At 46.1% G+C, this 13102-nt stretch overlaps 1 protein-coding gene and 1 long non-coding RNA gene across 10 annotated transcripts in view, besides 4 other annotated features; one reads left to right on the forward strand and one right to left on the reverse strand.

The window, feature by feature from the left end:
- Nucleotides 1-1302, reverse strand: LOC124902453 (uncharacterized). Its single transcript, XR_007062195.1, has 2 exons — nt 1254-1302; nt 1-248 (listed from the first exon to the last, which is right to left on the reverse strand). It is a non-coding gene; the product is annotated as an uncharacterized LOC124902453 (long non-coding RNA).
- Nucleotides 751-1950: an enhancer, noted in NCBI's record as "MED14-independent group 3 enhancer chr10:75503472-75504671 (GRCh37/hg19 assembly coordinates)". NCBI's record gives its function as "activates an origin of replication core promoter dependent on BRD2, BRD4, P300/CBP and CDK7 cofactors, and independent of MED14, by STARR-seq in HCT116 cells {active_cell/tissue: HCT116}" and the evidence as "EXISTENCE:reporter gene assay evidence [ECO:0000049][PMID:35650434]".
- Nucleotides 790-1357: an enhancer, noted in NCBI's record as "H3K27ac hESC enhancer chr10:75503511-75504078 (GRCh37/hg19 assembly coordinates)". NCBI's record gives its function as "activates a minimal SCP1, AML or CMV promoter by ChIP-STARR-seq in primed H9 embryonic stem cells {active_cell/tissue: H9 hESC(primed)}" and the evidence as "EXISTENCE:reporter gene assay evidence [ECO:0000049][PMID:30033119]".
- Nucleotides 1028-1457: an enhancer, noted in NCBI's record as "active region_3569". NCBI's record gives its function as "activates an Ori minimal core promoter by ATAC-STARR-seq in GM12878 lymphoblastoid cells {active_cell/tissue: GM12878}" and the evidence as "EXISTENCE:reporter gene assay evidence [ECO:0000049][PMID:35858748]".
- Nucleotides 1358-1924: an enhancer, noted in NCBI's record as "H3K27ac hESC enhancer chr10:75504079-75504645 (GRCh37/hg19 assembly coordinates)". NCBI's record gives its function as "activates a minimal SCP1, AML or CMV promoter by ChIP-STARR-seq in primed H9 embryonic stem cells {active_cell/tissue: H9 hESC(primed)}" and the evidence as "EXISTENCE:reporter gene assay evidence [ECO:0000049][PMID:30033119]".
- The window catches only part of SEC24C (SEC24 homolog C, COPII component), a 27790-nt gene continuing 16096 nt past the window's right edge, over nt 1409-13102 (forward strand). For 2 of the 9 annotated variants that reach the window (XM_047426032.1, XM_047426033.1), the window contains exons 1-5: nt 1409-1502; nt 2218-2444; nt 3667-3753; nt 3842-4041; nt 8145-8280. In XM_047426032.1, the coding sequence (XP_047281988.1) occupies nt 3870-4041; nt 8145-8280 (308 nt within the window). In that variant the 5' untranslated portion in view covers nt 1409-1502; nt 2218-2444; nt 3667-3753; nt 3842-3869. Of the gene's footprint in view, nt 1503-2217; nt 2445-3666; nt 3754-3841; nt 4042-8144; nt 8281-8753; nt 8761-13102 lie in introns of those variants that run through there. The other 7 variants (XM_047426031.1, XM_047426034.1, XM_011540381.4 and 4 more) reach the window with 4 other exon arrangements.

Here is a 13102-nt window from a genome sequence, read left to right on the forward strand (position 1 = left end):
TGTGGGAGACCAGAGTTTTATTATTACACAAATTAGTCTCCCTGAGCATTTGAGGATCAGAGTTCTTAAAGATAATTTGGCGAGTAGGAGCTTGGGAAGCGGGGAGTGCTGATTGGTCAGGTTGAAGACGGAATCACAGGGAGTCAAAGTGAGGTTTTCTTGCTGTTTTCTGTTCCTGGGTGGAATGGCAGAACTGATTGAGCCAGGTTACTGGTCTAGGTAGTCAGCTGATCCAATGAGTGCAGGGTCTGCAAAACATCTCAAGCACTAATCTTAGGTTTTACAATAGTTATGTTATTCCTAAAAGCAATTTGGGGAGGTTCAGACTCTTGGAGCGAGAGGCTGCATGTCCCCTAAACTGTAATTTGTAATCTTGTAGCTAATTTGTTAGTCCTGTAAAGACAGACTGGTCCCCAGGCAAGAAGGGGGTCTTTTCGGGAAGGGGCTATTATCAATTTTGTTTCAAACCATAAACTGAATTCCTCCCCAAAGTTAGTTCCACCTACACCCAGGAATGAATAAGGACAGCTTAAAGGTTAGAAGCAAGATGGAGTCGGTTAAGTCTGATTTCTTCCACTATCATAATTTCCTCAGTTGTAATTTTGCAAAGGCAGTTTCAACAGCAGTGCTCGAAAAATTATGAAATCAACAAATAGTACTGAAAAGTTCAAATGAAGTCATATATGAAAAAGAAATCCTAGCACTGTTAGCTATAATTACTTAGCCATTAAATGGGGTACTAATAATTACTGCAGGAACTATCTTTTCCAACAGAGCGCAGAGATCTTTTGGCTCTGATAAAGCTCTGCACCTAAACAAAGGCGCTGTATAAAAATGGTTAATAACAATTGACCTTTACTGAGTGCTTACTATGATGCCAAGCGGCCTATGTGGCCTAATTTCATCCTCTGGGCATTATTATTTCCATTTTACAAGCTGTAGAGCCAGACCTCAGACCCCCACATGCAGGTTGACAACAGTTGGTGCCCTTTACCACCACCACACGTTCCGCAAATCTCATAACCAGCAAACGCCATGGGTGAGAGCAACCTAGCGGACGGAAATCAACGGGGTCAGGGGTCACCAGGAAGTGACTACAAGACTCTAGCTCAGAGGTCACTAATACGTCACAGGCAGAGTGAAGGGGCATTATTAAAGATAGTTTGACAAATTCTTTTTAATCTCATTTCTGTTGGTGAGGCCATAAAGTGACTGGAACATCTGAAAAAAAATGTCAGGAGGGAAATACATACGACTCAGCAGAGGCGCACAGGCGGCGGCCATGATGGGAAGATGAAAGAGGCGCATGCGCGGCATCCGGGTCCCCGAAATGCAGACGTGGCAGAAGAAGTGGCCCGGCCCTAAAGCGTGGAGGAGGAACTTCCGGGGGTGACGGGACGGCCCCCTCGGAACCGGAAGTGGAGCCTGGGAGCCTTGACGTTAGGAACGAAGTCTAACCTGGATCTGGAGCCGGGTGAGGAGTGGCATCGGGAGGTTGGCGGGTAGGAAAGCAAAGGAGAGGTCAGGGTATTACTGGCCAGATTGGGGTCCGGTTTCAGAAAGAAGGGAGGAGCCTGGGGGCGGGGCCTGGGTAGAGACCCTCACCTCACGCATCCACCATCCAGGAGCAGGTCCTAGACCATCCCTTCGTCTCCCGGCCCAGATTCCGGCTCCTGCTTCCTGCCCCGAGCCTGTTAAAAGGTGCAAGACGTTTGGTCTCTGTGCTTAACAGAGCAGCCCCCTCTCTTAACGTGGCCCTAGAAGCCGACTTGGCTTCTCGGTTTTGATCCTCGGCTCTCCGAGGCTCCATGGCTTGACTACTTTCAGAGTTCTAGGAAGCTTGCCCCGCCCCCTTGGGTTGTCACCCTCGACTATCCACCCAGAATGGAGTCGAGACTTCAGTCTGACTCCAAGCTCTTGAATGTGTTTGAGGGGATTATTTTCTGGAGAAGAAGCTCCTTTCTTTACCCCTCCCCCCGGCTTTGGAAACATAAAGGGAGAGGACATATTTTAAACTTAGTGTCAGTGACCTACCTCTGTAAGGTTTAGGGTTTGGAAGAACAGCTATTGAGATAACTTTGAGTTTAAAGAGTTTTAGACCAGGATCAGCTCCTTTTCTATAGTCAAGGTGGCCCTTCTAGCAAAGGGGGAGAGGTCCATTGTTCCCTTTGCAGCAACTCTGAGTGCTCCTGCTTTCTGGGCCCCTTCTGTCTACAGGATAATTGGAATGATACAGCTGTTGAAAGTAGATGTGATGAGATAGTTTTCTTGGAAGGACCCTGTTTAGAAAAGGCCCTCTAATTCATCCCTGTGTTGATGAGCAAGATTGTAATAATTTTGATGGTGGCTGAGATTCATAACAATCGTAAGGGGAGCAGAAACAGGAGAGTTGGAGAAGTGCATTGGAATTTAGAATATTCATAGTCTTCTGCTTGAGGGATGAGGTGAATGATTTTTTTCCATGAAATCTAACTCTAACTTTGCCCCTGATTCTTGAACTGTTTCCTCAGATTATGTGAAGAAGTTTTGGTGCCTGTTCTGCACTTGGTTTTAATCTGTTACCTTGCTAGAGTTTTCAGGTGTCCTTTATTTTTTATTTTTTTGAAAGGGCGTCTTGCTCTATTGCTCAGGCTGGAGTGCAGTGGCACGATCTCGGCTTATTGCAATCTCCGCCTCCCGGGTTCAAGCGATTTCTCCTGCCTCAGCCTCCCAAGTAGCTGGGATTACAGGCGTGTGCCACCATGCCCGGCTAGTTTTTGTATTTTTAGTAGAGACTGGGTTTCACCGTGTTGGCCAGGCTGGTCATGAACTCCTGACCTCAAGTGATCTGCCCGACTTGGCCTTCCAAAGTGCTGGGATTACAGGCATGAGCCACTGTGCCTGGCCAACTTTTATTGATTTTAATGCTTCGGTTTTGGCCGGGCGTGGTGGCTCACACCTGTGATCCCAGCACTTTGGGAGGCCAAGGTGGGTGGATCACGAGGTCAGGAGATCGAGACCAGCCTGGCTAACAGGGTGAAAACCTGTCTCTACTAAAAATACAAAAACTAGCTGGGTGTGGTGGCACGCGCCTGTAATCCCAGCTACTCGGGAGGCTGAGGCAGGAGAATCGTTTGAACCCAGGAGGTGAAGGTTGCAGTGAGCCGAGATCGCGCCACTGCACTCCAGCCTGGCAACAGAGTGAGACTCCGTCTCAAAAAAAAAAAAAAAAAAAAAAAACCTTCAGTTTTAAGGTCCATACACTCTTTTGGTGGAAAGACTTGGGTTGGAGTATCATTTGTATTATGGCAGTTTAGCTAAAGAATGTCATTTCTGTAACTCAGCCTAAATTTTGTCATTGAGGGGGAAGGATTTTAGCAGATCTGTTTTAGATTTTTAGCCTGATTGATTTTAAATCAATTGTTCAGCACACTAGAGGGTACTCGATGTTTGCTGAATGAATGGATGCTAGAGTGAATGAATGGAAAGTGGGAACATTGTTTCTTTCACCTGTAACATCAAGGTAGTTCATCAGCCACAAGACTGTGTGACTAGACACTAGAAATCATACCACTGGGGAATGGAGGCTGCTGCTCCATTTCAGTGGATCTGTCTGAAGTTGAAATTTATACTATTTAGACAGTGACAAAGGGTGGATGGTCAGAATAACAAAATCCTTGCTTTTAGGAGATAATCTGAATGCTGGCTGGGGCAGAAAATTACTAAGATCCTGTGGAAGTGTGAGGATTATTAAACTGATCACTGTCTGATAAGGTCAATTTCTTTTTATCTCTACTTCCTGCCCTGAATAGTTGCTCTCTTTAGAAAGTTCATTTTGACTAATTTCTCCTCTCTCTCACAGGTGAGATCAAATTGGGAATGCTTTCATAATGAACGTCAACCAGTCAGTTCCACCTGTGCCACCATTTGGGCAGCCCCAGCCCATCTACCCAGGGTATCATCAGTCCAGCTATGGTGGGCAATCAGGGTCCACAGCCCCCGCCATTCCCTATGGAGCCTACAATGGCCCAGTACCAGGCTATCAGCAAACACCTCCCCAAGGTATGTTTCTGTTTCTGTTTCCTTTGAGCTAGGGAGGGAAATCAGCAGAGTCTTCAGGTTGGGTTGTATTGCTCTAGCTAAGCTACCTGAGAAGTTTGGATAACTGGGATTGAGGAACATAAATCTGGCCCTGTGTAGCTGAGAGCCCCGTGGGCGCCCTTCCCTTCCCTTTTTTTATTATTATTTTAATTTTTTTTTGAGACAGTTTTGCTCTGTCACTCATGCTGGATTACAGTGGCATGATCTCAACTCATTGCAACCTCTGCCTCCTGGGCTTAAGCACTTCTCCTGCCTCAGCCTCCCCAGTAGCTGGGATTACAGGCATGCACCACCACGTCCAGCTAATTTTTGTATTTTTTTAATTTATTTTGAGATAGAGTCTCTCTCTGTCGCCCAGGCTGGAGTGCAGTGGCACCCTCTTGGCTGCAACCTCCACCTTCCAGGTTCAAGCAGTTCTCTGCCTCAGCCTCCTGAGTAGCTAGGATTACAGGCATCCACCACCACACCAGCTAATTTTTTTGTCTTTTTAGTAGAGATGGGGGTTTCACCATCTTGGCCAGGCTGGTCTTGAACTCCTGACCTTGTGATCTGCCCGCCTCAGCCTCCCAAAGTGCTGGGATTATAGGCGTGAGCTACCGTGCCTGGCCTGTATTTTTTTTTTTTTTTTTTTTTGAGACAGAGTTTTACTCTTGTTGCCCAGGCTGTAGTGCAGTGGCACGATCTCGGCTCACCACAACCTCCATCTCCTGGGTTCAAGTGATTCTCCTGCCTCAGCCTCCCGAATAACTGGGATTACAGGCATGCACCACCATACCCTGCTAATTTTGTATCTTTAGTAGAGATGGGGTTTCTCCATGTTGGTCAGGCTGGTCTTGAACTCCCAACCTCAAGTGATCCACCCACCTCGGACTCCCAAAATGCTGAGATTACAGGCGTGAGCCACCACACCTGGCCACTGTTTGTATTTTTAGTAGAGATGGGGTTTTACCAGTGGCCAGGAAGGTCTTGAAGAACTGCTGACCTCAAATGATCCACCAGCCTTGGCCTCCCAAAATGCTGGGATTACAGGCTTCAGCCACCACGCCCGGCCCCTTCCCTGTTTTTTTATTTTATTTTACTTATTTTATTATTTATTTATTTATTTATTTTTTGAGACAGTCTCGCTCTGTTGCCCAGGCTGGAGTGCAGTGGCACAATCTCGGCTCACTGCAACCTCCGCCTCCCAGATTCAAGCAATTCTCCTGCCTCAGCCTCCAGAGTAGCTGTGATTACAGGCTCCCGCCACCATGCCCGGCATTTTTTGTATTTTTAGTAGAGACAGTGTTACACCATGTTGGCCAGGCTGGTCTCGAACTCCTGACCTCAAATGATTCACCCATCTCGGCTTCCCAAAGTGCTGACATTACAGGCATGAGCCACCACCTCTGGCCTTATTTTTAATATTTTTTGAGATGGAATTTTGCTCTTGTTACCCAGGCTGGAGTGCAATGGCACAATCTCAGCTTACTGTAACCTCCGCCTCCCAGGTTCAAGTGATTCTCCTGCCTCAGCCTCCCAAGTAGCTGGGATTACAGGCATGTGCCACCACACCCGGCTAATGTTTTGTATTTTTATTAGAGATGGGGTTTCACCATGTTGGCCAGGCTGGTCTCAAACTCCTGGCCTCAGGTGATCCACCCGCCTCAGCCTCCCAAATGCTGGGATTACAGGTGTGAGCCACCGTACCTGGCCTTATTTTTTTTCTTTTTTATTTTTGAGCTGGAGTTTGGCTCTTGTTACCCAGGCTGGAGTGCAATGGCACAATCTCAGCTCACTGCAACCTCTGCCTCCCAGGTTCAAGTGATTCTCGTGCCTCAGCCTCCTGAGTAGCTGGGATACAGGCACCCACCACCACACCTGGCTAATTTTTTGTATTTTTAGTAGAGATGGGATTTTGCCATGTTGGCCAGGCTGGTCTCGAACTCCTGACCTCAGGTGATCCACTTGCCTCGGCCTCTCAAAGTGCTAGGATTACAAACGTAAGCCACCACGCCCAGCTGTCTTCCCTGTTTTTAGATAAGGTACTGTGTTTCTGCCTTAAGCCATCTAGTGGGAACACATCTCCCAGGTTCACTGACTGTTCACTTCCTGTGGGTATCACCTTGTGCAGCCTTACCTGGTCACATTGTTCAGAGCTAAATGGAAGGGTTGTGGTCCACACCCCTCTAGATCCTGTGACCAGGACCGAATATTTCCTGTTGACTTGTAGTCTCCTTGAAATAATTTATTCGTCATATATGTTGAGAAAGCCTCTTGTTGGACTGATGATTCTTATGTATGAATGACCCTGGGACAGTGTAGTTTATGGGGGTGAAAAGTGTGATATTTGTGTGCCTGACTTTTGGTGCGTCTCATGTCTTCTGATATCCATCCTTTTCCTTTGCTTGAGTTTCCTCTGCTTCTTAGATGCTCTGTAATGTCATGGTAATAAGATAATACTAATCTGATGCTGTTCTAGGTTCAGTGTTTGGCTTTTAACCTTACCTTTTCTTTTTCTTTTTTTTTTTTTTTCTTTTTGGAGACAGAGTCTTACTCTGTCACCCAGGCTGGAGTGCAGTGGCACGATCTTGGCTCATTGTAACCTCTGTCTCCCGGGTTCAAGCAGTTCTCCTGTCTCAGCCTCCCGAATAGCTGGGATTACAGGCACATGCCACCACGCCCGGCTAATTTTTATATTTTTAGTAGAGACAGGGTTTCACCATGTTGGCCAGGCTGGTCTCGAACTCCTGACTTCGTGATCCACCTGCCTTGGCCTCCCAAAGTGCTGGGATTACAGGCGTGAGCCACCACGTCCAGCCTTACCTTACTTTCTCAAGAAGAGCAGCTAGTACTCTACCGATTCTCCAGAGGGGCTTTTTGGAAATAGTTAACAGTAGATCTTTGCTTAGGCTAGCCGATGATTTAGGGTATGCCAAACTCTATGCTTTCATAAAGAGATATGGAAAAAAGAAGGCATCAAGGAGGTACTGGTAAGATTTGGGAAATAATGAAGTATGATGATTTTAACTGTGGGGAAAAAATATTGTGATGAGATTAGGCCCCAGGTCTTTGGAAGAACCTTAATTCTAAGCTGAGACTTTGGCTGGACAGAGTCCACCTCTGCTTTGTCAAGTGCTCGAGTTTGGCATTCTCTCATGAGAAAGCTTTGTTAGAGGAAAACATATCTGATTCTGTCATGGTTGGTGAGCAAGTTTAGGCTAATCATGTTCCTGTAGGCAGGTTCTATAATGTCTAATCTCTACTGAGGGCAGAGCAAAAGAAAAGCATTCTTTGAACAGAGGTCATCCACATTTCAAAAGTGATGTGCCAAGTAACTAATTGCTTTCTCCCTGAACTTCATATGTGAAGAATGGCTAAGGGTAGTGTAAGTAGCTTTGGTGGTGGTTCTAAGGAATAGGAAGGATGGAGTACAGCTTTTGTGAGGACATAGGTGGCAATGCTGATGGGAGGACAGGCCAGCTGTCCTTACTGAACTGTTGGGCAGAAACAAGGTCTCCGATCTATAGGAACACGTTCCTGAATCGTGCTGTTTCATGTTTTCACACTTAGAAGTGGATGAAAGGATATAGTTAGTGTAAGCAGAATGAATGAAGAAGAAGGTGGCAGAATAATCTCCCCAAGAGATGCCTTTCTTTGCAGCCTAGTTCCGTATATTACTTGGTCATCTTCTGAGTCTCCTTTTTCATATATGCTCCAAGTTTCTGAGTTCTGGAGTAAGATCTTTTCCTTAAAAGGGTTGGCTTGTTGTCTAGGGTAAGAATATCAGGCAGTCTTGGATTGACTGAGAGTATGGTGATCAAAGGAAGGCCCTACATTCTTGTGCCTCTGGCTACAGCTTCACCCCTAGTATGCTTGTCTAGGGGAGTGTAGGCCCCTTGTTGGGAATCTGTGTTTAGAATACTGCTGTAGCTACAGTTGTATGCTGGTAGTGTCCTTTTCACTGCCTAAACTGTGGTATTGGGCCAGTGAAGGTCTGAGTTTATTGATCCTTGCTTTGCATTCCTGGCTCAGGGTGGAGGAGAAAGTTATTTCCCAATCACTTAGTTTCTGTCCTTTACCCTCAGGTATGTCAAGAGCCCCACCTTCCTCGGGGGCACCTCCAGCCTCAACAGCACAGGCTCCTTGTGGCCAGGCTGCATATGGCCAGTTTGGCCAAGGAGATGTACAGAATGGGCCAAGCTCCACTGTTCAGATGCAAAGGTAGGTACTTGGTCAATCTAAAATTGGTCTGATGAGGCTGAGTGCAGTGGCTCATGCCTGTAATCCCAGCACTTTGGGAGGCTGAGGTGGGTGGATCACCTGAGGTCAGGAGTTTGAGACCAGCCTGGCCAACATGGCAAAACCCCATCTCTTTTCTCAAATAAAAAATTAGCCAGGTGTGGTGGTGTGCACTTGAAATCCCAGACTTGGGAGGCTGAGGCAGAAGAATCATGAGGCAGAGGTTGCCGTGAGCCGAGATCGTGCCATTGCACTCCAGCCTGGGCGATAGAGTGAGACTCCGTCTCATAAATAAATAAATAAATAAATAAATAAAATTGATCTGATGAAAGTAGAAAGGTTAGGAATGTATGGGGGTTTGTGTTTTGTTTTGTTTTTTTTCTCTCCTTTGCCTTTCTTGTAGATCACTTTTTCTCTTCCCTCTACCCTTTTGTACTTTGTCTTCTTTTTTCCAGGTTACAGGTACTGCTGACGTCCAGCCCTGTGGATTATTGACCCATCTTAGTACCTGGGTTCCTTTGCATATTCTTCATTTTCTGTGAACTTGAGTTTCTTGCTTTACTAGACATACATCTTCAATAATGGTTGCAGTCCTGTTGAGACTACCCTAAGGGAGAAATGGGAAGAGGAAACTTCAGGATTATTTGCATCTCTTTTGACTTGCCCCTTTCCTCTAGAACAGGCACTTAGTAGGACTGATTGGTTAAGTTTGGGCATGGCCAGTTATGAACTGAAAGATACTAAAAGGGAAACCACATAAATGGTGAAAACTTCAGTGGTACAGTGACCCAATAAACCCATCTTAGCATGAAAGTCCATTAAAGGAGGGCAGTCATCTCTATTAGAGTGCTTTTTAAAATTTTTTAATTTTTTTTTTTGAGACAGGGTCTCACTCCGTGGCCCAAGCTAGAGTGCAGTGGCAGGATCACAACTCCCTGGAGCCTGGATGTCTCAGGCTCAGGTGACCCTCCCACCTCAGTTTCCCAGGTAGCTGGGACTACAGGCATGCGCCACCACACCCAGCTAATTTTTTGTATTTTTAGTAGAGATGGGGTTTCGCTGTGTTGCCCAGGCTGATCTCAAAACTCCTGAGCTCAAGCAATCTGCCCACCTTGGCCTCCCAAAGTGCTAGGATTACAGGAGTGAGCCACTGCACCTGGTCAGGAGTGTTGTTTGTGTTTGGTAAATAAAGAGTAAAATATAACTGTGGGAAAGGGGTATGATAATAGAAAAGTCACTTTCTGACACTTTAACTGGGTGTCCAGAACACACATTTTAAGCATTGAATGTAAGCCTGGGTAAGTCAAACAAGTGGGGTACATAGAAGATAACAAGTACACAAATGTACATAAAGTTATAAAACAGGGTGAGGATATAGTGAGGGGGTAGGGAGCTGTTTTAAATACATTGGTCCGTGCTGGGTGCAGTGGCTGACTCCTTTAATACCAGCACTTGGGGAGGCTGAGGTGGGAGGATTGCTTGAGCTCACAAGTTGAAGGCTGCAGTGAGCCATGATTGTACTGCTGCACTCCAGTCTAGGTGACAAAGCAAGACCCTGTCACAAAAAAACAAAACAAAACAAAAAACCCATACGAAACAAGCATATGCCTTAGTAAATTATTATATAGCAAACTCCTTTGTAACTACAACTACGACCCAGATGAAGAAATAGAACTTTGCCACTCACCCCAAAAGCCTTTTCCATGTGCCCCAATTCAAACATTATTCTCTCCCTCCCCTCATAAATAACAACTATCCTGCATTATCCTGACTCTTACAGTAATTACTTTCTTTTTCTTTTTTTTTGAGACAGAGTCCTGCCCTGTTGCCCATGCTAGAATGCAGTGGTGTGATCTCGGTTCACTACACTCTCCAGCTCCTGGGTTCAGGCGATTCTCCAGCCTCAGCCTCCCGAGTAGCTGGGATTGCAGGCGCCTGCCATCAGGCATGGCTAATTTTTTTATATTTTTAGTAGAGACAGGGTTTCGCCATGTTGGACAGGCTGGTCTCGAACTCCTGACCTCAAGTGATCCACCCGCCTCAGCCTTCCAAAGTGCTGGGATTACAGGTGTGAGCCACCACGCCCAGCTGACTTTCTTGTGGTTTTTTAAAAATAGTTTACACTTGGCTGGGTGAGGTGGCTCATGCCTATAATCCCAGCACTTTGGGAGGCCAAGGTGAGAAGATTGCTTCAGCCCAGATTTTTGAGACCAGCCTGTGCAATATAGGGAGACCCCAATCTCTACAAAAAATAAAATGTTAGCTGGGCATGGTGGCAAGCTTGTTGTCCTAGCTACTTTGGGAGGCTGAAGTGGAGGTATCGTTTGGGCCCAAAAGGTCGAGGCTACACTGAGTGTGATCTCGCCACTGCACTCCAGAGCTTGAGAAACAGCGAGACTGTGTCTCACAAAGAAAAAGTTTACACTCAAATGTACAACCCCACGTACCACAATTTAGTTTTACCCACAGGAAAAACACTTGGTGTGTCTTAAGTCTATAAGCTCCACCTCTGTCTTCTTTTTCTTAGTATTTATCTGTTGAAGAAAACAGTTAACCCAAAGAATTTCCCACAGTTTGGACTCTTTACATAACATTTACATCACACTTGTCCAACTTGTGGCCCACAGTCTGCGTGCCCCAGGACGGCTTTGAATGTGGTCCAACACAAATTCATAAACTTCCTTAAAACATTATGAGGTTTTTTTTTTTAAGTTCATTACCTGTCATTAGTGTAGTGTTAGTGTATTTTATGTGTGGCCCAAGACACTTCTTCCAGTATAGCCCAGGGAAGCCAAAAGATTGGACACCCCTGATTTACATTGTATTAGGTATTATAAGTAATCTAGAGATGATTTAAAGTACATGGGAGGAGGCTGGGTGTGGTGGCTTATACCTGTAATTCCAGCACTTTGGGAGGCCAAGGTGGGTGGATCACCTGAGGTAAGGAGTTTGAGACCAGCCTGGCTAACATGGTGAAACCCCATCTCTACTAAAAATACAAAAATTAGCTGGGTGTGGTGGCGGGCACCTATAATCTCAGCTACTTGGGAGGCTGAGGCAGGAGAATCGCTTGAACCCAGGAGGCAGAGGTTGCAGTGAGCCAAGATTGTGCCACTGCACTCCATCCTGGGCGACAGAGTGAGACTTCGTCTCAGGAAAAAAAAAGTATATGGGAGGTTATATGCAAATATGATGCCGTATAACCCACATCCAATTCTATTGATTCCACCTTCAAGATGTATCCCAAATCTCACTACAGTCATTCCTCAGTATCCATGGGGGAATGGTTCCAGGACCTCCCCTGACCAACAGATACCAAAATCCACAAAGGCTCAAGTCCCTCATATAAACTCTATTCAAGTAGAGATGTTAGGTAGGCAGGTGCATATACAAATCTGCAGCTCAAGACTGATGCTAGGACTGGAGATAAAAATTTGGGAGTCCTCAGTCTATAGATATTTAAAGCCGTGGGACTAGATGAAATCATTTAAAAAGTGAGTATTGAGATTAAAGAATGGAATTGAGGACTGAGACTTGGAGCTTAGCAACATTTAAAAGTAAAGAGGAGCCGCCATTAAAAGACAATGAGGGGCCAGGTGCAGTGCCTCACTCCTGTAATCCCAGCACTTTGGGAGGCTGAGGCAGGCAGATTGCTTGAGCTCAGGAGTTCGAGACAAGCCTGGGCAACATGGTGAAACCCTGTCTCTACCAAAATACTAAAATTAGCCGGGTGTGGTGGCACATGCCTGTGGTCCCAGCTTCTTGGGAGGCTGAGGTGGGAGGATGGCTTGAAACCAAGAGGCGGAGGTTGCAGTGAGCCGAAATCGCACCGCTGCACTCCAACCTGAATGACAGAGTAAGACCCCATCTCAAACAAACAAAAAAAAAACAAAAGACAATGAGAAAGAGCAGTAGTGAGGTGGGAGATAAGCCGGGAGAGTGTGGTGTCCTGAAGTCAGGTGAAGAGAGTATTTCAAGAAGGTGAGAGAGTAATCAGTTGTGTCAGATGCTGCCAAATTGTAAGATGAAGATGGAGAATTGACCATTGAATTTGGCAAGGTTGGCGTCATTGGTAAAGGCAGTTTCAGTGTAGAGATAAAGAAAACTACCCAGTTGGAGTGAGTCAGAGTTTCAGGCCAGGCGCGGTGGCTCATGCCTGTAATTCCAGCACTTTGGGAGGCCGAGGCGGGTGGATTACAAGGTCAGGAGATCGAGACCATCCTGGCTAACACGGTGAAACCCCGTCTCTACTAAAAATACAAAAAATTAGCTGGGCGCGGTGGCAGGCTCCTATAGTCACAGCTACTTGGGGGGCTGAGGCAGGAGAATGGCGTGAACCCAGGAGGCAGAGCTTGCAGTGAGCCGAGATCTTGCCACTGCACTCCAGCCTGGGCGACAGACAGCGAGACTCCGTCTCAGGAAAAAAAAAAAGTTTCAACCGGGTGGTAGATTGACATAATCTGAAAACCCTCTGCTACCAAAGTCTAGAAAGGAGAGAGAAAATAGAAACAAAAAAAATTTTTAAGTGCAAAGTTAAGCTTGAAAGAAAATGTGAAATTCTTAAGTTTTAGAGACCAAGTGAGGACTGAAAATCTTTTTTTTTTTTTAAATACAGAGTCTTGCTCTGTCGCCCAGGCTGGAGTGCAGTGGCACGATCTCTGCTCACTGCAACCTCTACCTCCCAGGTTCAAGCGATTCCCCTGCCTCAGCCTCCCAAGTAGCTGGGACTACAGATGTGGGCCACCATGCCCGGCTAATTTTTGTATTTTTAGTAGAGATGAGGTTTCACCGTGTTGGCCAGGCT

The sequence above is a fragment of the Homo sapiens genome, chromosome 10, assembly GCF_000001405.40.
Source record: "Homo sapiens chromosome 10, GRCh38.p14 Primary Assembly".
Lineage (NCBI taxonomy): Eukaryota > Metazoa > Chordata > Mammalia > Primates > Hominidae > Homo > Homo sapiens.